A 24,393-nucleotide genomic window follows, 5' to 3' on the forward strand; every position below is an offset into this window, starting at 1 on the left:
ATTGTAGCGATACTAAGGAAATGTAAAATAGGACCTTCCATGGGTTTATATTTTCAGGTAGAAATACAAAACTAATAGACCACTCATTGTATCAGATAATAATATAGAGAGATTTTCTGTGTTTTGCAATAAAGTTGTGCTATGGGAGTTCAGAAATTTTTAAGGAAACAGTAGGGGAAGAATTCATGGGAGAGATAGACTTGAACTACACATTTTGTATTGGTAAATTCAAGAGAATTTGTTTTTCTTAGAGACGGAGTCTCACTCTGTTGCCCATGCTGTAGTGCAGTGGTGCAGTCCTGGCTCACTGCAACCTCCTCCTCCTGAGTTCAAGAGAATCTCCTGATTCTCCTGCCTCAGCCTCCTGAGTAGCTGGGGTAGGTGCCTGCCACCATGACTGGCTAATTTTTGTATTTTTAGTAGAGATGGGGTTTCACCATGTTGGCCAGGCTGGTATCAAATTCCTGAGCTCAAGGGATCCGCCTGCCTTGGCCTCCCAAAGTGCTGGGATTACAGGTGTGAGCCACCACACCTGGCCGAGATAATTTTTTCTTAAAAACCACCCAAACAAAAAAAAAGCCTAGAATCTCCAATGAGCCAGGTGTATTTGGGAATAAGTAATGGAACCTTTCTAATTGGTAGTTTATAATGGAGAATAACCAAAAATGGGGTTGGATAAGGAGGAGGAAATCAGGTTATGAAAAACCTTAAATGTCACAAGATTTTTTAAAGTTTTTATAATACCCCCACACTTTTTTTTTTAAAAGGACATGAACTACTGAAGAATGCTCAGTGACTTAACTATTTTGAGCCTGTAAACTTTGTCCATATGACTCCATGACAATAGATGCTTTCTGATCTTACCACTTCTGTTGCAGTTTTTATCCACTAGATGTCACCGTGAAACTAGACAATGAGACAGTTCAGGCACGAACTCCCTTAGTTTATCTAGAACTGGTTGGGTAAATGGTACACATAATTCACTTTCTGAATGTTAGTACACGTCTCAGTTTTCTCGTGTTGGTGTTATAGAAACATGTGATCTTGGAGTTGGAAGAGTTTCAAACATTCATCTGACATGTTGAAACATTTATACATGAAAGTATTTGATGTCTGGAATATACTTAAATAATAAAAGAATGAGGTAAAGTAGGGAGTTACGGATGAAGCAAGATTGGCTAGGAGTTGATAGTGCTAAAGTGAGGTATCCATATCTGTCCATGGTGGTTCATTATAGTGTTCTGATTACTTCTGTATATGTTTGAAGTTTTCCATAGGTTTGAATTTATTTATATTTTTAATTAAATGTTAAAAAAGAATATTATCTGGTCCTATCTTTCTCTGTCCAAGGAATTCAGTTCTTTTTTTTTTTTTATTATACTTTAAATTCTAGGGTGCATGTGCACAACGTGCAGGTTTGTTACATATGTATACATGTGCCATGTTGGTGTGCTGCATCCATTAACTTGTCATTTACATGAGGTATTTCTCCTAATGCTATCCCTCCCCGCTTCCCACCATGCCACGACAGGCCCTGGTGTGTGATGTTCCCAACCCTGTGTCCAAGTGTTCTCATTGTTCAATTCCGACCTATGAGTGAGAACATGCGGTGTTTGGTTTTCTGTCCTTGAGATAGTTTGCTTAGAATTATGGTTTCCAGCTTCATCCATGTCCCTACAAAGGACATGAACTCATCCTTTTTTATGGCTGCATAGTATTTCATGGTGTATATGTGCCACATTTTCTTAATCCAGTCTATCACTGATGGACATTTGGGTTGGTTCCAAGCCTTTGCTATTGTGAATAGTGCTGCAATAAACACATGTGTCTTTATAGTAGCATGATTTATAATCCTTTGGGTATATACCAAGTAATGAGATGGCTGGGTCAAATGGTATTTCTAGTTCTAGATCCTTGAGGAATCGCCACACTGTCTTCCACAATGGTTGAACTAATTTACAGTCCCACCAACAGTGTAAAAGTGTTCCTATTTCTCCACATCCTCTCCAGCACCTGTTGTTTCCTGACTTTTTAATGATTGCCATTCTAACTGGTGTGAGATGGTATCTCATTGTGGTTTTGATTTACATTTCTCTGATGGCCAGTGATGATGAGCATTTTTTCATGTGTCTGTTGGCTGCATAAGTGTCTTCTTTTGAGAAGTGTCTGTTCATATCCTTTGCCCACTTTTTGATGGGATTGTTTGATTTTTTCTTGTAAATTTGTGTAAGTTCTTTGTAGATTCTGGATATTACCCCTTTGTCAAATGTGTAGATTGCAAAAATTTTTTCCCATTCTGTAGGTTGCCTGTTCACTCTGATGGTAGTTTCTTTTGCTGTGCAGAAGCTCTTTAGTTTAATTAGATCCCATTTGTCAATTTTGGCTTCTGTTGCCATTGCTTTTGGTGTTTTAGTCATGAAGTCCTTGCCCATGCCTGTGTCCTGAATGGTATTGCCTAGGTTTTCATCTAGAGTTTTTATGGTTTTAGGTCTAACATTTAAGTCTTTAATCCATCTTGAATTAACTTTTGTATAAGGTGTAAGGAAGGGATCCAGTTTCAGCTTTCTACATATGGCTAGCCAGTTTTCCCAGCACCATTTATTAATAGGGAATCCTTTCCCCATTTCTTGCTTTTGTCAGATTTGTCAAAGATCAGATGGTTGTAGATGTGTGGTGTTATTTCTGAGGCCTCTGTTCTGTTCCATTTGTCTATATATCTGTTTTGGTACCAGTACCATGCTGTTTTGGTTACTGTAACCTTGTAATATAGTTTGAAGTCAGGTAGCGTGATGCCTCCAACTTTGTTCTTTTTGTTTAGGATTGTCGTGGCAATGCGGGCTCTTTTTTGGTTCCATATGAACTTTAAAGTAGTTTTTTCCAGTTCTGTGAAGAAAGTCAGTGGTAGCTTGATGGGGATAGCACTGAATCTATAAATTACCTTGGGCAGTATGGCCATTTTCACGATATTGATTCTTCCTGTCCATGAGCATGGAATGTTCTTCCATTTGTTTGTGTCCTCTTTTATTTAGTTGAGCAGTGGTTTGTAGTTCTCCTTGAAGAGGTCCTTCACATCCCTTCATGTAAGTTGGATTCCTAGGTATTTTATTCTCTTTGAAGCAGTTGTGAATGGGAGTTCACTCATGATTTGGCTGTTTGTCTGTTATTGGTGTGTCGGAATACTTGTGATTTTTGCACATTGATTTTGTATCCTGAGACTTTGCTGAAGTTGCTTATGAGCTTAGGAGATTTTGGGCTGAGTCGATGGGGTTTTCTAAATATACAATCATGTCATCTGCAAACAGGGACAATTTGACTTCCTCTTTTCTTAATTGAATACCCTTTATGTCTTTCTCTTGCCTGATTCCCCTGGTCAGAACTTCTAACACTGTGTTGAGTAGGAGTGGTGAGAGAGGGCATCGCTGTCTTGTGCCAGTTTTCAAAGGGAATGCTTCCAGTTTTTGCCCATTCAGTATGATATTGGCTGTAGGTTTGTCATAAATAGCTCTTATTATTTTGAGATATGCCCCATCAATACCTAGTTTATTGAGAGTTTTTAGCATGAAGGGCTGTTGAATTTTGTCAAAGGCCTTTTCTGCATCTATTGAGATAATCATGTGGTTTTTGTCTTTGGTTCTGTTTATGTGATGGCGTACGTTTATTGATTTGCATTTGTTGAACCAGCCTTGCATCCCAGGGATGAAGCCAACTTGATCTTGGTGGATAAGCTTTTTGATGTGCTGCTGGATTCAGTTTGCCAGTATTTTATTGAAGATTTTTGCATCGATGTTCATCAGGGATATTGGTCTAAAATTCTCTTTTTTTGTTGTGTCTCTGCCAGGCTTTGGTATCAGGATGATGCTGGCCTCATAAAATGAGTTAGGGAGGATTCCCTCTTTTTCTATTGATTGGAATAGTTTCAGAAGGAATGGTACCAGCTCCTCTTTGTACCTTTGGTAGAATTTGGCTGTGAATCCATCTGGTCTTGGACTTTTTTTGGTTGGTAGGCTATTAATTATTGCCTCAATTTCAGAGCCTGTTATTGGTCTGTGCAAGGATTCAACTTCTTCCTGGTTTAGTCTTGGGAGGGTGTATGTGTGGAGGAATTTATCCATTTCTTCTAGATTTTCTAGTTTATTTACGTAGAGGTGTTTGTAGTATTCTCTGATGGTAGTTTGCATTTCTGTGGGATTGGTGGTGATATCCCCTTTATCATTTTTTATTGTGTCTATTTGATTCTTCTCTCTTTTCTTCTTTATTAATCTTGCTAGCGGTCTATCAATTTTGTTGATCTTTTCAAAAAACCAGCTCCTGGATTCATTGATTCTTTGAAGGGTTTTTGTGTCTCTATCTCCTTCAGTTCTACTCTGATCTTAGTTATTTCTTGCCTTCTGCTAGCTTTTGAATTTGTTTTCTCTTGCTTCTCTAGTTCTTTTAATTGTGATGTTAGGGTGACGATTTTAGATCTTTCCTGCTTTTTCTTGTGGGCATTTAGTGCTATAAATTTCCCTCTACACACTGCTTTAAATGTGTCCGAGAGATTCTGGTATGTTGTGTCTCTGTTCTCATTGGTTTCAAAGAATATCTTTATTTCTGCCTTCATTTTGTTATTTACCCAGTAGTCATTCAGGAGCAGGTTGTCCAGTTTCCATGTAGTTGTGTGGTTTTGAGTGAGTTTCTTAATCCTGAGTTCTAATTTGATTGCACTGTCATCTGAGAGACAGTCTGTTGTGATTTCTGTTCTTTTACATTTGCTGAGGAGTGCTTTACTTCCAACTATATGGTCAATTTTGGAATAAGTGCGATGTGGTGCTGAGAAGAATGTATATTCTGTTGATTTGGGGTGGAGAGTTCTGTAGGTGTCTATTAGGTCCACTTGTTGCAGAGCTGAGTTCAAGTCCTGTATATCCTTGTTAACCTTCTCTCTCGTTGATCTGTCTAATATTGACAGTGGGGTGTTAAAGTCTCCCATTATTATTGTGTGGGAGTCTAAGTCTCTTTGTAGGTCTCTAAGGAATTGCTTTATGAATCTGGGTGCTCCTGTATTGGGTGTATATACATTTAGGATAGTTAGCTCTTCTTGTTGAATTGATCCTTTTACCGTTATGTAATGGCCTTGTCTCTTGATCTTTATTGGTTTAAAGTCTGTTTTATCAGAGACTAGGATTGCAACCCCTGCTTTTTTTTTTTGTTTGTTTTCCATTTGCTTGGTAGATCTTCCTCCATCCCTTTATTTTGAGGCTATATGTGCCTCTGCACGTGTGATGGGTCTCCTGAATATAGCACACTGATGGTCTTGACTCTTTATTCAATTTGCCAGTCTGTGTCTTTTAATTGGGGCATTTAGCCCATTTACATTTAAGGTTAATATTGTTATGTGTGAATTTGGTCCTGTCATTATAATGTTAGCTGGTTATTTTTCCCATTAGTTGATGCAGTTTCTTCCTAGCATCGATGGTCTTTACAATTTGGCATGTTTTTGCAGTGGCTGGTACTGGTTGTTCCTTTCCATGTTTAGTGCTTCCTTCAGGAGCTCTTGTAAGGCAGGCCTGGTGGGGAGAAAATCTCTCAGCATTTGCTTCTCTGTAAAGGATTTTATTTCTTCACTTTTGAAGCTTAGTTTGGCTGGATATGAAATTCCGGGTTGAAAATTCTTTTCTATAAGAATGTTGAATATTGGCCCCCACTCTCTTCTGGCTTGTAGAGTTTCTGCCGAGAGATCCGCTGTTAGTCTGATGGGCTTCCCTTTGTGGGTAACCCGACCTTCTCTGGCTGACCTTAACATTTTTTCCTTCATTTCAACCTTGGTGAATCTGACAATTATGTGTTTTGGGGTTGCTCTTCTCGAGGAGTATCTTTGTGGTGTTTTCTGTATTTCCTGAATTTAAAGGTTGACCTGCCTTGCTAGGTTGGGGAAGTTCTCCTGGATAATATCTTGACGACTGTTTTCCAACTTGGTTCCATTCTCGCTGTCACTTTCAGGTACACCAATCAAACATAGATTTGGTCTTTTCACATAGTCCCATATTTCTTGGAGGCTTTGTTCATTTCTTTTTATTCTTTTTTCTCTAAACTTCTCACTTCATTTCATTAATTTGATCTTCAGTCACTGATACCCTTTCTTCCACTTGATCAAATTGGCTACTGAAGCTTGTGCATTCGTCACGTAGTTCTCGTGCATGGTTTTCAGCTCCATCAGGTCATTTAAGATCTTCTCTACACTGTTTATTCTAGTTAGCCATTCGTCTAATCTTTTTTCAAGGGTTTTAGCTTCCTTGCGATGGGTTCAAACATCCTCCTTTAGCTCGGAGAAGTTTGTCATTATTGACCTTCTGAAGCCTACTTCTGCCAACTAGTCAAAGTCATTCTCCATCCAGCTTTGTTCCGTTGCTGGCGAGGAGCTGTGATCCTTTGGAGGAGAAGAAGTGCTCTGGTTTTTAGAATTTTCAGCTTTTCTGCTCTGGTTTCTCCCCATCTTTGTGGTTTTATTTACCTTTGGTCTTTGATGATGGTGACCTACAGATGGAGTTTTGGTGTGGATGTCCTTTTTGTTGATGTTGATGCTATTCCTTTCTGTTTGTTAGTTTTCCTTCTAACAGTCAGGTCCCTCAGCTGCAGGTCTGTTGGAGTTTGCTGGAGGTCCACTCCAGATCCTGTTTGCCTGGGTATCACCAGTGGAGGCTGCAGAACAGCAAATATTGCAGAACAGCAAATATTGCTGCCTGATCCTTCCTCTGGAAGCTTCGTCTCAGAGGGCACCTGGCTGTGTGAGGTGTCAGTCGGTCCCTACTGGGAGGTGTCTCCCAGTTAGGCTACAGGAGGGTCAGGAACCCACTTGAGGAGGCAGTATGTCCGTTCTCAGAGCTCAAACTTCATGCTGGGAGAACCACTGCTCTCTTCAGAGCTGTCAGACAGGGACGTTTAAGTCTGCAGAAGTTTCTGCTGCCTTTTGTTCAGCTATGCCCTGACCCTGGAGGTGGAGTCTACAGAGGCAGACAGGCCTCGTTGAGCTGCAGTGGGCTCCACCCAGTTCGAGCTTCCTAGACACTTTGTTTACCTACTGAAGCCTCAGGAATGGCGGACGCCCCTCCTCCAGCCAGGCTGCTGCCTCGCAGTTTAATCTCGGACTGCTGCGCTAGCAGTGAGCAAGGCTCTGTGGGTGTGGGACCTGCCAAGCCAGGTGCGGGGTATAATCTCTTGGTGTGCCATTTGCTAAGACTGTTGGAAAAGCGCAGTATTAGGGCGGGAGTGTCCCGATTTTCCAGGTACCATCTGTCATGGCTTCCCTTGGCTAGGAAAGGGAAATCCCCCGACTGCTTGCACTTCCTGGGTGAGGCGATGCCCCACCCTGCTTCGGTTCACCCTCCGTAGGCTGCACCCACTGTCCAGCCAGTCCCAAGGAGATGACAGGTAGCTCAGTTGGAAATGCAGAAATCTACCTGTCTTCTGCGTCGATCACGCTGGGAGCTGCAGACCGGAGCTGTTCCTATTCAGCCATCTTGGAATGGACCCCCCAATTCTTTTTATATTATCTCCATATGTGGCCATCTAATTCCTGCCACAACACCTCCACTATTGGACAACTCATTACTTTTTCAGACTGATCATTTTATTTTTAGAAGACTTGAAATTATTGCAACTATTTTTTCAACATGTTGAGTCAAAAATCTTCCTCCCTATAACTTTTATCCATTGGTCTTAATTTTGCCCTCTCAGGTAATAAAAAATAAGATAGCATCTGAGAGCACTTCAAGTATTTGATTATAGTTATCATTTTTCTTTTTTGGGTTTCTATATTCCTAATGCCTTATTGATTTCTTCTGAATACTATTTTGTTTTTCAATATTCTTCTGAAATAGGACCTCAAAAACAACACAATACTGTATTTTAAATATGATTTGGCCACTAGTGCTCTTAATCCGCACCCCTTACCTCACCCTCTGCTTGATAATACTTGGTATTACCTACTTGTTCAAAGGTCAGTTAAGATTAGTTGCCTAAAGGTAGGAGCTAGAATTGTAGACTGGAAGAAATTTCAAGTGTCTTATAATATATAGAACCAGTATTTTGTTTTCATTAGGACTGATATTTATCTTTAGGGATTCAGTTTCTGTGATGTCCCTTGAAAGCGGCATTTTGGTGAGGAATTGAAGAACAACTGATCATTGTTTTAGTCTTACCATATAATAACTTTTTATTGATCTGTCCCTATTCAGTTTGCTACTGTTTTCTAGCATGGTTTATTCCAGCTTTTTGTTTCTCACTGAATCTTTTACTATCTTATTTCTATTTTTATTCTCTCTTTACAGTGCTAGTTTTCCAGCTTTTTAAAACCATGGAAATAATTACTTTTTGTAGTAAAGCTTTAAGTAATGTGAAATAGCCTGCTAAATTCTTGTAATCTACCATTGAAAAAACTAGTATTTCAGTCAGACACTTTTGCCTGCAAGAACTCAGGCTAACCCAAACAAGGGGAAAGTTTATTTGAAGAATACACATGGGTTAATAAGGGAAGAATCAGAATCTCACACAAATCCAAACTCCTTTGAGGAATGCAACTGGAGAGTTTTTCTGGATGTGAGTTTTTCTGGATGTGAGCTCCAGTGACCCCAAGAGCATGAGATATTTGATCTTCACACTAATATTTAATCAGTAGCTTGATTGATTCAGTTCTTCTCATAGGGTGACCAACCTTCCCTATTGGTCTAAGATCGAGGGGTTTCCAGGACATGGGACTTTTCAGTGCTAAAACTGAGACAGTTCTAGGTAAACTAGTATAGTTGGTCACCTTGTTTCTACATGTATGCTTCCCTCTTATTTTCTCATTTCTCTACCATTAACTGGTATTGTCATCTCCTCATCACAGCTTCATAACTTTGGTATACTTGAGGACCCGTTAGCCTCTTTTTTCCAGTTTAGGACCTTTTATGTTCAAGTCCTCTCTCTAACTTTTCTCTGGATATTTCCTAGTTTATTATCTGAGGTAAGGAATATTTATTGGCCCAGCTTGCCTTTTTGCATTAGGTCTACATTACTGGCCATCTTATAGATTGATAGCAATTGTGACAAAAGAAAGATAATGCAACTCGCTGCATTGCACTGGGATTCATGGGCTATAAAAAGTGGCTCATGTGAGTTCAACTTTTAATGTATGGTATTTTCTGGCCACTGAAAAGTCTAACACATTTAAAAATCAGTATGATATCATTTGCAAATAAACTACATTATACTTGAATAGAATTCAACTTTGATTAGATTTTTATGGCCTTAACAATACACTTTACATTGGTATTAGTCCTCCATGATAATAAAGTAGGTAAAATTCTATAAATATTAGATCTCATCTATACTCTTTTCCCATGACCTACATAGTATTACTAATTGTTTTGTTTATACAGTTACATGTAAATTCTATCTTATTCTTGATTGGCTAAAAAATTACACAAACAAGTTAAAAAGAACTGAAGAAAATATGAACAGTGTCCTAGTTAGATATCTATATTTCTCAAATTTTATCCTTCATATTTGCTTGATGCTTTAAATTTTACTATCTAATCATAGTTTGCTTTAGATTTTAAGATTTAAATCTCAAAATTTATATATTACAATTTTCGTTTTGTTACAAAGAAGTGCTTTTGCTAATTGTTAAAGTTATGTTTCTGTGTGCAAAATAGACATTTTTTTTGGTGTGCAGAAGACATTGCATCAAGGCCTATTTTTATTTGACATATTACTACACAACCCTTGCTCCAGTCAGCTAAGGCTAGGGAGGAAGTTGCCTAAGGCCGCCCCTTTAATAGGGCTTGTAGGCCTGGCAGTATTCCTTAGAAGGCACTGTGATTGGTTGTCTGGTATACCTGGGATATAGTCTCTAGGGGTCAGTGCAAGCAAAGTTTTGTTGGCAATGGTTTGTTAGTTAGGAAAACTAACAAACAGAAAGGAATAGCATCGACATCAACAAAAAGGACATCCACACCAAAACCCCATCTGTAGGTCACCATCATCAAAGACCAAAGGTAGATAAAACCACAAAGATGTGGAGAAACCAGAGCAGAAAAGCTGAAAATTCTAAAAACCAGGGCATCTCTTCTCCAAAGGGTCACAGCTCCTCGCCAGCAACAGAACAAAGCTGGATGGAGAATGACTTTGATGAGTTGACAGAAGTAGGCTTCAGAAGGTCGGTAATAACAAACTGCTCCAAGCTAAAATTTAGGCCCATGTTCTGTAGGATATTCCTGAGGTCTGATATATGTACATATGTATTTATATATGCAATATGAGAACCAAAAATGCATTTATATGTTTATGTTGTTCATGAGAGGAAGCTTTTTGAGGGATATTGTCTGGGATTTTTTTTCTCATTTTTTACACTGAGTTTTATTGAAAGTATATATGTACATAGTTTGAACAAGTAAAGTAAATAGTTGCATGCATTGTTATTAAAAAAGATAAGTACTTTGCACATTTCCTCATCTTCCTCAGAAGCAACTATTTGCATTCTTTTAGTTTTGTCTTTTGGTGTTAATATTCATATTTCTGAGCAACATGCTAGTAATACTCCTTCTTAATTAAAAAAAATTTAGGCATTTTTTATTGATTTACCACTAGGAAGGATGAGGATTTATTCCTCTTTCTCTCCCCTGCCACCACTACACATGCACTCTTTCCACTCCCGTCCTCTCTTTATAGTTATATTGTAATTTTGCTTAGATCTATATTAAACATTTATGTTGTTATGACTATATAAACATTAGTCACAGCTGATCTATGAGTAAACTATGATTATGTTTCCGTCTATGTATGGCTTTTTGTTTTATCTGGAGTTATATTGATTTTTCATTTGCTAGGTTTTCTATTTATCTAATTATTTATCTAATTATGAGTAATTCATCTTCATCAGGGAATCTAAGCCTTAGAGATTTAATCGTAGTCTGTTAATAACAGTTAACTACAAAAGAATCAATAGTGTGCCTAAGGTTCTAGATAGAAAAGACTTTTGGTCAAATTTTATGTTTTGAGTATTTACACACATACAACACATGCACATATGCATATGTACATTTAAACATATATGTAAGTATACATACAAATGTATATATATACCACAGACATTCACACAATTACATATATATGTAATGACCAACATCATCTTGCAGAGAAATGTGCTTATCTACTTGTTTATTTGAATTATTGCATAATTTAATTTATAATATCCCCCTGGGTTCTATGTTTTTGTTAAATTGCTTGTTAACATTAACTTTAGTCTTTGTATTAGTTTCTGGTGGCTGCTGTAACACATTACCTCAAAGTTAATAACTTAAAAAATTACAGAAATTTATTATCTCTCAGTTCTGGAGGCCAGAAGTCCAGAATCCACTTCACTAAACCAAAACGAAGGTGTCCTCAGGGCTGTGCTCCATCCTCAGGTTCTAGGGGAAAGTTTGTTTCTTGACATTTCCAGCTTTTGGTGTCTGCTGGCATTCCTTTTCTTGTGGCTGCATCACATCAATTTCTGCATGCCATTTTCACATCACCTCCTTTTCTGTATGTTGAATCTTCCTCTACCTCTCTCGTAAGGACACTTTTGATGGCATTTAGGACCCGTATGGATAATCCAGGATTATCTTCTCAATGTCCTTAAGATCTCAAGATCCTTAACTTAATCACATTTGCAAAGGCCCTTTTTTCTTATAAAGTAATATTTACAGGTTCTAGGGATTAACACCTGGTATCTTTGGGTGGCCATTATTCACCCAATGACAGTCCTCAAAGCATGTCATTGAAAAAGCCTTTCCAAGATTGAGGCTTGGTGAAGGGTTATGGTAACTACAGAGAAACAGAAGAAAAATAATGTATATTCTAGCTTTTGGAGCAGTTGAAATATCCTGCTTAAGGGCCTATAATCAATGTGACTCTAATAGAGGTTTGGACTTGATGGGAAATGAAAATTCTGAATCCCTATTTCAAATTTGTTACAATGGGGATTTTTGAATCCTTGGTCACATGGTGCAGGGTAATAACACCTACCTTAAGTGTCAATGAATAAAAGGAGGCATAGTCATGGGGCTATTTTTTTTTTTTTATAATTTCAACTACACATATCTCTTTTTGCATTGTGAACAGCTCTATCTTGATTCCCTTTGGCCACTCCGCAGCTGACCAAATCTAGAAGTCTTCCGCTTGGCAAAACAAAGAGTAGTATGTTTCAATCTGATTTCTCTGGACAGAGTTATAGACCTCTGAAAACAAGCTTAAATAGAGGTGATGTGCTGTAAAAAAATCTGGGCTGGTAGAGTAGAGTGTTTTCATCCTTAGGTAATTATTAATAAAGCCATAAAATTTATTTTATTTTTTTTTAAGACAGAGTCTTGCTCTGTCGTCCAGGTTAGGGTGCGGTGGCGCAATCTTGGCTCACTGCAGCCTTGAACTCCAGGCTCAAGCAATCCTTCCACCTCTCCTACCTCAGCCTCTTGAGTAACAGACTACAGGCGTGTGCCACTACAGCAAATTTTTTTTGTATTTTCTGTAGAGAAGTCATAACCATCATTTCTCTTCAAGGGATAATTGATATTATTAAACTTCCAATGAGTGGATTAGTAGCGATCTTGGCTTTGCCATAATTTTACTGACTAGTACAGGATATACTTTTCCTCCACGTGATACAGTGCTTATCTTTATTTTTCAATTTTAATTTTAATTTATTTATTTTTTTAAGATGGAGTCTCTGTTGCCCAGGCTGGAGTGCAGTGGCGCTATCTCGTCTCACTGCAGCCTCTGCCTCCTGGGTTCAAGCAGTTCTCCCGCCTCAGCCTCCTGAGTAGCTGGGATTACAGGTGTGCACCACCATGCCCGGCTAATTTTTTTATTTTTAGTAGAGATGGGGTTTCACCACATTGGTCAGGCTAGTCTCGGTCTCGAACTCCTGACCTCAGGTGATCCGCCTGCCTTGGCCTCCCAAAGTGCTGGGATTACAGGTGTGAGCCACCACGGCTGGCCTACAGTGCTTATCTTAAAAATGATATATGTTTTATTTGTTTCCCTAATGAGATATTCTTTGCAAATTTGTGAGATATAAAATAGGCTGTGCTTCTCTGAAAAAGAAATCAAAATAGCCGCATACTGAAATTTCTGGAGATAAGGAATGAACACGAAATCAACATTTAATATTAGTAGTCATTTATTAGGTGTTACTTAAAGTAGTTGAAACAAATTGGTTCTTTTGAAATGTTTGAATTTGTGTTCTAAGTTAATTTAGGAAGGCTTCTTGGAGGAAGAGGAAGGGAGATTCAAGAAAAGACTTTAAGTAGCTATGGTCTTCAAATGTTGAGGGTGGTGAAAGGAGTCATGTAAATTGGGGATAAAAGGGCTTTAAGGAAACTAGGAATAGAGTCCTAGCAAGCAGTGATGAAAGCAATTAAGCATATATGGAGCACTTGAAGAAATAACTCCTTATTGACAAAGGTGGATAGAAGGTAAGGAATGTGTCTGGTCAGTGATCTCCAAGTGTATTAATTCAGACTTTAGGTTTTCATATTTTTGTGTACATGCTTTATATAAAGTATACATTATTTCTTAAAAAACAGTTTGAGTAACCGCCCTTAAACCAAGTTACAAAGTACAATCTCTAGAATAATGACAATAATGTTGTACCACACTATCAGCACATCAAAGTCTCCTTTGCAAGTAATCCTGTTGTCTTAGATCTGGCATTTTTTAATAATAGGGACCTGTTTTCCTGTTGGAACACTTAGTGCATTTGGAATTAAAACTTATCCTGCTTTTGTTTGCTTTCTTCCCCCTTTCCCTGGCAGCTTAGTGAAACTATGAAACAGGCACGTCACCGGCTAGCATCCTTTAAAACCGTGATTAAAAAAAAGGGATCAGTGTTTCCAGATGATGGAAGGAAAAGCTTTCTTACCAGAGAGGTAAATTAATTTCTAATACATGATTTAAAAAAATACAGGTAAAAAATACAGATAAAGATTTACTTATATCTCAGCATAATTTAGAACTGTAAAATAATTGGAAATAGCCTTAAATACCCAATAGTAGGGGATGCTTGAGTAAATTGTGACATATCCATATGCAGCCATTCTAAAAAATATTTTCAAAGAATATCTGAAGATAAGGGAAAGTGTCTGTGATATAAAGTTAAGAAAAAAGTTGGATATGAAATTAAGTATGATATGATCTTAATTAAAATATATGTATATGTATTCAACAAATACTTATGGAATGTCTGTGATTGCCAGCATTGTTCTAGAAACAGGACTTATAGTGGTGAAAAGACAGACAAAGATCCCTCAAGGAGCTTCTGTGCTAGTTGGGAAGCATATAATAAACAAGCAAATAAATATAGAATATAATTTCAAGTGATAAGTGCTATGAAGAGAAATACAGCAAAATAAAAAGATGGAAAGAGTTCCATGTGCATAGACAAAAGCCTAGGTACAAATGGCACAAGAGGCTAATACTGATTATTTCTGGGTAGTAGTATTACAGGTGATTTTCTTCTGTTTTTTATTTTTAAAAATTGTCATAAAGTATGTCACTTTCTAATCAGGAAAAAATTGAAACTATTAATTTTTAAAAAGAAAAATTCTTTTGATTCAAAACTTAAGTGAGTGTGGAGCTAGGCTTAGGAGGATATGTAAGTCTATACTTATAAAATGACATTGTTTTGGTGCCTACCTCAGAATTCACAAATTTGGATCCTAAATTTATGTGTTTTCCTGTGTGTACTTAATTTTGGCATTAATGTTTTATAGGCAGCATCTAGTAAAATAGACCATTAATTTATTTTTTAATAAATTATGTTTTTTTGCCAATAAATATGTTATTTTTTTGCCATCATCAACTGCCTCATTTAGTTCTTTCCCAGTTTTACTTCCTAATTAGTATACTCTTATATTTTCCTGGAATATGCATATAATATATATAATATATAAATATATAGATATATAATTTTGTATTTTTTTCCATATCTTGACCCAACCATTAAAAATGTTTGTCTCATATATGTTGGCAATTGGTTGAATACTAAACTGTAATGTTTTTCTCTTTAATTACAACTAAGAAATTTATAGTTAAATTTAAAAAACAAGTGGGCGTGGATATGTGTCCATGTATGGCAACACATCCCACGTGCGTTTATATGGTTGTCTTTTTCTAGCATTGCCTTGTGGCTCCTCAGAGTTTCTTTTGTACCTAAATTATTTTCAGATGTTGGTTTCTTGACAGTTTTCATACCTATCGTGGTTTGGTAGTACTATAGTTTGGGCCATTAGACTGACTCCAGGGTACTGTTAGATGAGGTGATTAGACACTTTCTACTAAATCAGAAAAAAAAACACAGTTATCAGATCTTAGAGATGGATATTTATATTGCTTGGAACATGCTCAGACCTTTCAACTGGTGTTTTTCCAGAAAGTGTACTATTCACAGTTCTGATTGAAATAATTATCCAATAGACGGGAGGATTAAGTCTGAGATAACATCTTTGTATAAACCAGTTTTTTACGTCAGAGGTGCCATTTAAGTGTAATTCATTATTGTTATGGTGATAATGATGAATTCAGGCTACCTACTTGCTTCCAAAGAAAGCATATATGTTTTTCAGGTAAAAATATGAAAAACAAATCTACTCAATACAATTGGGAATGATCTAAGAAATTGGTGAAATTTTTCTTATTACTTGTATCAAGCTTTCCCTCAAATCTCAACAATTTTCTACCTTCTTAGTTGTGTGAAGTGGGAATTTGCAAATCAGAAAGAACAATCTATGATTGAGTTGAACCCTGGTTTTATTTCATTATTAGTCTTTAGTGACATTAGAATCTGTCTGGTTGTTATTGATCCGGATTTGGAGATACAAGTGGAACACATACTTGCTTGTACTCTGGCAGGTTGCCAAGACTAAAATCATGAGTCTTCTGAAATTGTTACTGGCTAGAATAGGTGCAAGTTGTCATTTATAAAGTTAATATATTCTCCTGTTTTATTCCATATGGTTTTATATGTGAGCGCTTTGTTTGTACATATGAAGTAGAACTCATGTTTTTTCCCTTTACTGTGTATTAGACTACCAAAACCTACTAAGATAATTTTAGATCTTTCACAGAAACTCAACTTAGTCTCATGAATATGTTGCTTCCTCTAGACCTATTTATATTTGTAGTAATTTTTTTTCCAGGAAGTGCTTTCCAGGAAACCAGCATCCACTGGGATAAATACAGGAATAAGAGGAGAGTTGCCCATTAAGGTCCATCAAGGTCTTTTAGCTGCTGTACCTTACCAGAATTATATGGAAAATCAGGTAGGGAAATATAAAAAGTAGAGGGGAAAGACATTGGCTTATTAGAAGTATCCACAGCTAACTAAGGATGGGATAAAGGGTTAAGATATCCAGTATTTTTTTTAACGGACTTTATTGAGATATAATTCATATACCATACAATTCACCCATTTAAAGTGTACAATTCATTGGTTTTTAGTACTCACAGTTTGCACAGGGTTGTGCAACTGTTACCACAATCTAATTTAGAGCATTTTATTTTTAATTTTTTAATTAATTTTTTAAAATAACTTTTATTTTAGGTTCAAGGATACATGTGTAGATTTGTCATATGGGTAAATTGCATGTTACAGGGGTTTGGTGTACAGATTACTTCGTCACGTGACTTTACCTAATAGGTAGTTTTCCCATCCTCACCCTCCTTTCACCCTCCACCCTCAAGTAGGCCCTGGTGTCTGTTGTTTCCTTCTTTGTGTTCATATGTACTGAATGTTTAGCTCCCGCTTGTAAGTTAGAACATGTGGTATTTGGTGTTCTGTTCATGAATTAGTTTGCAGTTTGCTTAGGATAATGGCCTCTAGTTTCATACATGTTGATGCAAAGGACATGATCTCATTCATTTTTATGGCTGCATAGTATTCCATGGTGTATGTGTACCACATTTTCTTTATCCAGTCTGCTGTTGATGGGCATTTAGGTTGATTCTGTGTCTTTGCTATTGTTAATAGTGCTGTGATGAAAATATGTGTGCATGTATCTTTAAGGCAGAGCAATTTATATTCCTCTGGGTATATACCAGATAATGGGATTGCTGGGTTGAATGGTAATTCTGTTTTAAGTTCTTTGAAAAATCACCAAACTGCTTTCCACAATGGCCGAACTAATTTACATTCCCCTTAGTGGTGTATAAGCATTCCTTTTTGTCCACAGCCGTGTCAGCATCTGTAATCTTTTGGCTTTTTCTGACTGGTGTGAGATGGTATCTTGTGGTTTTGATTTGCATTTCTCTAATGAGTGGTCCTTGGCCATGTGTATGTCTTCTTTTGAAGTGTCTGTTAATATCCTTTGCCCTCTTTTATGGAGTTTTTTGCTTGTAAATTTGTTTAATTCCTTGTATTCTGGATATCAGACCTTTCTTTGATGCATATTTTTTCCCATTCTGTAGGTTGTGTGTTTACTCTGTTGATGGTTGCTTTTGCTGTGCAGAAGCTCTTCAGTTTGATTAGATCCCATTTGTCATTTTTTTTTTTGTTGCAGTTGCTTTTGGCATCTTCATCATGAAATCTTTGCCTGTTTCTATGTCCAGATTGATATTTCCTATGTTATCTTCTAGTGTTTTTTATGCTTTTAGGTTTTACATTTAAGTCTTTAATTCATCTTGAGTTGATTTTTATATATGGCATAAGGAATGAGTCCAGTTTCAATCTTCTGCATATAGCTAGCCAAATATATCCCAGTACCACTGAATTGGGAGTCCTTTCCCCATTGCTTGTTTTTGTCAGTTTTGCTGATGATCAGATTGTTGTAGGTGTGCAGCATTATTTCTGGGCTCTCTATCTGTTCCATTGGTCCATGTATCTGTTTTTGTACTGATACCATGTTTTGGTTACTGTAGCCTTGTAGTGTAGTTTGAAGTAGGGTAATGTGATTCCTCCAGCTTTGCTCTTTTTCTTAGAATTGCCTTGGCTATTCAGGCTCTTTTTTGTTTTCATATGAATTTTCAAATAGTTTCTATGAAGAATGTCATTGGTAGTTTGATAGGAATAGCATTGAATCTGTACACTGCCTTGGGCAGTATGGCCATTTTAACTATATTGATTCTTTTTATCCATGAGCATGAAATGTTTTTCCATTTGTTTGTGTCATCTCTGATTTCTTTGAGCATTGTTTTTTAATTCTTATTGTAGAGGCCTTTCACCTCCTTAGTTAGCTGTATTCCTAGGTATTTTATTCTTTTGTGGCTATTGTGAATAGGATTGCATACTTGATTTGGCTCTTAGCTTGGGTATTGTTGGTGTATAGGAATGCTACTGATTTTGTATCCTGAAACTTTGCTGAAGTTGTTTATCAGATCATGGAGCTTTGGGCAGAGACTATGGGGATTTCTAGGTATAGAATCATATCTTCTGCAAATAGGGATAGTTTGACTTCCTCTCTTCCTACTTGGATGTCATTTTTTTTCTTTCTCTTGCCTGATTGCTCTGGCTAGCACTTCTAGTACCATGTTGAATAGGAATGATGAGAGAGGACATCTTTGTCTTGTTCTGGTTTTCAAGGGGAATGCTTCCAGTTTTGCCTATTCAGTATGATGTTGGCTCTGGGTTTTTTGTTATAGATGGCTATTTTTATTTTGAAGTATATTCCTTCAAACAAATGCCTCGTTTGTTGAGGGTTTTTAACATGAAAGGATGTTGAATTTTATTGAAAGCCTTTTCTGCATCTCTTGAGATCATCATGTGGTTTTTGTTTTTAGTTCTGTTTATGTGGTGAATCACAATTAATGATTTGTGTATGTTGAACCAACCTTGCATCCCAGGGATAGCTTTATTATGGTGGATTAGCTTTTTGATGCACTGCTGGATTTGGTTTGCTAGTATTTTGTTGAGGATTTTTGCATCTATGTTTATCAAGAATATTGGCCTGAAGTTTTGTTTTTTTGTTGTGTCTCTGCCAGGTTTTGGTATCAGGATGATGCTGGCCTTGTAGAATAAGTTAGGGAGGACTTCCTCCTCCTCAATCTTTTGGAATAGTTTCAGTAGAAATGATACCAGTTCTTCTTTATAACATCTGGTAGAATTCAGCTATGAATTTGTCTGGTCCTAGGCTTTTTCTGGTTGATAGGCTTTTTATTACTAATTCATTTTAAGAACGTGTTATTGGTCTATTCAGGGATTCAGTGTTTTCCTGGTTCAATCTTGGGAGGTTGTATGTTTCCAGATATTTATCCATTTCTTCCAGATTTTCTAGCTTGTGTGCATAGAGGTGTTCATCATAGTCTCCAAGGGTTTTTTTGTGTTTCTGTGAGGCCAGTGGTAATGTCCCCTTTGTCATTTCTGATTGTGTTTATTTGGATATTCTCTCTTTTTAATTAATCTAGCTAGTGCTCTGTCTTATTAATTCTTTCAAAAGACCAGTTCCTGGATTAATTGATTTCTTGTGTGTTTTCTGTTTCTCAGTTTTTATCAGTTCAGCCCTGATTTTGGTTAGTTCATGTCTTCTGCTAGCTTTGGGGCTGGTTTGTTCTTGTTTCTCTAGTTCTTCTAGTTTGATGTTAGGTTGTTAATTTGAGACCTTTCTAACTTTTTGATGTGGGTGTTTAAAACTATAAACTTCCCTCTTAACACTGCTTTGGCTGTGTCCCACAGATTCTGGTATGTTGTATCTTTTTTCTCATTAGTTTCAAATAATTTCTTGATTTCTGCCTTAATTTCATTATTTACCTGGAAGCCATTCAGGAGCAGGTTGTTTAATTTCCATGTAAATGTATGGTTTTGAGTGATTTTCTTAGCACTGATTTCTATTTTTATTGCATTGTGATCCGAAAGCATGGTTGGTTTGATTTTTGTTTTTTTGTGTTTTTTTGAATTTGCTGAGGATTGTTTTATGGCTGATTGTGTGGTTGATTTTAGAGTGTGTGCCATGTGCAGATGAGAAGAATGTATATTCTGTTAACTTTGGGGTGGAGAGTTTTGTAGATATCTATAAGGTCCATTTAGTCAAGTGTTGAGCTCAGATCCTGAATATCTTTGTCAGTTTTCTGCCTTATGATCTCTTTTTCTTTTGGAGATGGAGTCTTGCTTTGTCACCCAGGCTGGAGTGTAGTGGCATGATCTTGGCTCACTGAAACCTCTGCCTCCTGGGTTCAAGTGATTCTCCTGCCTCAGCCTCCTGAGTAGCTGGGACTGCAGGCACCCACTACCACACCTGGCTAATTTTTGTATTTTTAGCAGAGACAGGGTTTTACCATATTGGCCAGTCTGGCCTTCAACTCAGTGATCTCTTTAATATTGTCAGGGGGCCGTTGAAATCTCCCACTATTATTGTGTGGTTATCTCAGTCTTGTGGGGTCTCACTCTGTCGTCCAGGCAGGAGTGCAGTGGCATGATCTCAGCTCACTGCAGCCTCTGCCTCCTGGATTCAAGTGATGCTCCCAACTCAGCCACCTGAGTAGCTGGGACTACAGATGCACAACATCATGTGTGGCTAATTTTTGTATTCTTTGGTAGAGATGGGGTTTCTTCATGTTGGCCAGGCTGGTTTTGAACTCCTGATCTCAAGTGATCCGCCCACCTCAGCTTCCCACGGTGCTGGGATTACAGGCATGAGCCATCGCAGCTGGCCTGAGTCTCTTCATAGGTTTCTAAGAACTTGCTTTATGAATCTGGTTGCACTTGTATTGGGTGCATATATATCTAGGATAGTTAGGTCTTCTTGTTCAATTGAGCTTTTTACTATTATGTAATACCCTTCTTTGTCTTTTTTTAAATTGTTATTTGTTCAGAGTCTGTTTTGTCTGAAACTAGAATAGCAACCCCTGCTTTTTTATGGTTTCCATTTGCTTGGTAGATTTTTCTCCATCCCTTTACTTTGAGCCTATTGGTGTCATTTCATATGAGATGAGTCTCTTGTAGACAGCATACCATTGGGTTTTGCTTCTTTACCCAACTTGCCACTCTGTGCCTTTTAATGGGGCATTTAGTACATTTACATTCAAGGTTAGTATTTGGTGTGTGCAGATTTGATCCTGTCATCATGTTGTTAGCTGGTTATACAGACTTGTTTATGTGGTTGCTTTATAGTATCACTGGTCTATGTACTTAAGTGTGTTTTTGTAGTGGCCAGTAATAGTCTTTCCTTTCCATATTTAGCACTCTCTGCAGCACCTCTTGTAAGGCAGGTCTGATGGTAATGAATTCCCTTAGCATTTGCTTGTCTGAAAAATATCTTATTTCTTCTTCACTTATGAAGCTTAGTGTGGCTGGATGTGAAATTCTTGGTTGTAAATTCTCTTCTTTAAGAATGCTTAATATAGGCCCCCAATCTCTTCCAGCTTTTAGGGTTTCTGCCACCAGGTTTGCTGTTAACCTGATGGGATTCCCTTTGTAGATGACCTATCTCTTCTCCCTGGCTGCCTTTAACATTTTTTCTTTTATTTTGACCTTGGAGAATCTAAGAACTGTGTGGTTGGGGGATGGTCTTCTTCTTTTGTAGTATTTTGCAGGGGTTCTCTGCATTTCCTGAATTTGAATGTTGGCCTCTCTAGCCAGGTTGGACAAATTTTCATGGATGATATGAAAATATGAAATACATTTTGCAAGTTGCTTGGTTTCTTTCCCTCTCAGGGATGCCAATGAGTCATAGATTTGGTCTTTTTATATACTTCCATATTTTTTGGAGGTTTTGTTTATTCTTCTTTATTCTTTTTTCTTTATTTTTGTCTGACTGAGTTATTTTGGAGAGCCAGTCTTTGAGCTCTGAGGTTCTTTCCTCAGCTTGGTTAATTCTGTTATTAATACTACTGCATTATGAAATTCTTGTAGTGTGTTTTTCAGCTCTATCAGATCAGTTTGCTTCTTATAATGGCCATTTTGTCTATCAGCTTCTGTATCGTTTTATTGTAATACTTAGATTCCTTGGACTGGGTTTTAACTTTCTCCTGAATGTCGATATTTTTGTTCCTATCCATGTTCTGATTTCTATTCCTGTTATCTCAACCATTTCAGACTAGTTAAGAATTATTGTTGGGGAACTAGTGCAGTCATTTGAGGTAAGAAGACATTCTGGCTTTTTGAGTTGTCAGAGTTCTTGCACTGGTTCTTATGTTTGTGGGCTGTGTTGTTCCTTCAGTCTTTGAAGTTGCTATCCTTTGGATTTTTTTTTTTAATCCTCTTTGATGTCCTTGGGGGTTTGATTCTGGTATAAGGGGGAGTCAGTTGACTGGCTTCATTTCTGGAAGATTTTAGGGGCCAGAACTCAGCTCATGACTCTTGGACTGTGTGCTCCAAATCTGGGGGGCTGGTATTGGCCCTGGCTTTGTTCTCTGGCCTCTTAAGGTTAGGAACCTGCCACACTGGAGGAGCTAAGGTGTTCCCAGGCTGCTGGTCACAACACACTGATGGATGGTGCCAGCCAAAACGCTTTTTTGGGTGGTGGCAATGGGATTCATGCTTGTTTTTATGTGCCAGCAGCAGTGGCAGCGTGGCAGGGTACACGCCGTGGTGGGGTGCCGGCAGGTGCAGGGGTGCTGGCCTCCTTGTGGGCATTTGCAGTGGTGGTGGTTGCAGTGCTGCACCAGAGGATGGAGCGGCGGGAGTGGGGCCTACTGGCATCAGTGTGCATGTTCACTCTGGTGGCAGTGTCAGCATGTCATGGGGCACTCACAGGCATGGGGCTGGTTCCCTCCAGGTAGGCGTTCATGTGCAGCAGTGGCCGTGCAGGGCAGGGGGTAGGGCTGCTCGTCTCCTTGAGTGCCTTTGCATTGGCAGTAGTGACACACCATTGCAGGCAGGGTGCGCTCACATTGGCAGCAGTGGCATGGTGGGATGCATGCACACTGGTGGGGAAGCAGAGGTGAGGTCTGCCTGCACACACACATGTGAGTAAAATGATGTAGGTGTTGCTATGGATGAGTGCATGCTGGAAAAGTGGCATGAGGGAGGACGCAGTGGGGGAAGGGCATAGGCAGGCTCATGCTGGTTGGTGTGGTCTGCTGTGATGGTCAGGCATGGTCTGCCAGCACAGGAGCTATTATGTGGGCCTCTGGGAGGCACCCCGGTGGGCATCTGAGGTTGCACTGCAAGCAGGGCTGGGGCCCTGGGAGAGGCTGGTAGACAGGGGTGCACTCATGTAAAACTGGCCCTGTCTCACGGGCAAGATCGCCCTGCACTGTTCACGTCCGACAGTTCCCCTGTGGCTAATGTCTCCTAGGGGAGCAAGGTGGGCCTTGGGGGATGGACAGCCTGACCATGCCCCACTACAGATACTCCTTTACCAAACCCTCTAGGCTTTGCACCGGCTGGAATTCTGCCCACCACCTCTCTAAGCAGCTCTCCCTGCCAGCGCAAGTGTCAGTGGGGTTATGGGGTCTCCTGCTGCCAGGATTCCAGAGGTCTGTGGAGTGAGCAGGTCTCTTCTCACTTGTTCAATTCATCCCTTCCCCAGGAGCCACTGGGGGCCAGGAACAAGTCCTGGTGCACGGTAGCCCTCTTCAAGGTTCCCACCTTCCTCCTCCTTTGGCCCAGCATCTGTGTCTTCCCTCTGTCCACTCTTAATGCCTTCCCTCCAGAGATCTGCTAAGAGTGTACCTAATGTTCCAGTCTCTCGGTAGTAGATGTTCCTCCTGGCTGCTTCTAGCCAGCTATCTTGTTTTTGGGATTTGCTCTAGAGCATTTTCTTCACTCCTAAGAGAAACCCTCTATCTCATTCTCTCCTTGCCCTTAACCTCAATCCTAGGCAGCTACTAATCTACCTTTTGTCTGTATAGGTTTACCTATACTGGACATTTCATATGAAAGGAATTATATGATATATCGTCTTTTGTGACTGTTTTTTCTCTTTGCATAATGTTTTAAAGTTCATCCACATTGTAGTGGATGTATCAGTACTTCATTCTTTTTATTGCTGAATAATTTATTGTATAGATGTACCACATTTGGTTTATCCATTTATCAGTTAGTAGACTTTGGCGTTCTTTTCACTTCTTGGTGTTTATGAATTATGAACGATTGTGTATGAGCAGTTGTGTACACATTTTTGTGTGGACATTCATTTCTTTTAGGACATTCATTTCTAGGAGTGAACCTGCTGGATCATATAGTAATTCTATGTTTAACATTTCAAAGAACTGCTAAACAGTTTTCCACCAGCAATATGTGAGGGTTCCAATTTCTCTGTATCCTCCAACACTTATTATTGTCCTTCTCTTCTGTTATAGCTATCCTAGTAGATGTGAATTGGTATCTCACTGTCCTTTTGATTTGTAGTATATTTTCCTGATGACTAATGATCTTCAGTATCTTTTCATGTGCTTGTTGCCCAGTTGTGTAACTCTTGTGGATAAAATGTCATGCATGTGCTTTACCCATTTTTTAATTGGGTTGTC

The 24,393-nt window shown here is 38.4% G+C and overlaps 1 protein-coding gene across 12 annotated transcripts in view, besides 2 other annotated features; it reads left to right on the forward strand.

Annotated features, from left to right (window-relative positions):
• The window catches only part of CCDC15 (coiled-coil domain containing 15), an 87,288-nt gene that overhangs the window by 7,086 nt on the left and 55,809 nt on the right, over window positions 1-24,393 (forward strand). For all 12 annotated transcript variants that reach the window (NM_025004.3, XM_017018346.2, XM_017018348.2 and 9 more), the window contains 2 exons: window positions 13,809-13,922; window positions 16,191-16,313. In NM_025004.3, coding sequence (NP_079280.2) covers window positions 13,809-13,922; window positions 16,191-16,313 — 237 coding nt within the window. The remainder of the gene's footprint in view (window positions 1-13,808; window positions 13,923-16,190; window positions 16,314-24,393) is intronic.
• Window positions 15,732-15,932: a silencer, noted in NCBI's record as "peak1499 fragment used in MPRA reporter construct". NCBI's record gives its function as "represses an SCP1 promoter by STARR-seq MPRAs in K562 erythroleukemia cells {active_cell/tissue: K562}" and the evidence as "EXISTENCE:reporter gene assay evidence [ECO:0000049][PMID:32103011]".
• Window positions 22,069-22,821: an enhancer, noted in NCBI's record as "H3K4me1 hESC enhancer chr11:124853252-124854004 (GRCh37/hg19 assembly coordinates)". NCBI's record gives its function as "activates a minimal SCP1, AML or CMV promoter by ChIP-STARR-seq in naive H9 embryonic stem cells {active_cell/tissue: H9 hESC(naive)}" and the evidence as "EXISTENCE:reporter gene assay evidence [ECO:0000049][PMID:30033119]".

This window comes from Homo sapiens, chromosome 11 (assembly GCF_000001405.40).
Source record: "Homo sapiens chromosome 11, GRCh38.p14 Primary Assembly".
Lineage (NCBI taxonomy): Eukaryota > Metazoa > Chordata > Mammalia > Primates > Hominidae > Homo > Homo sapiens.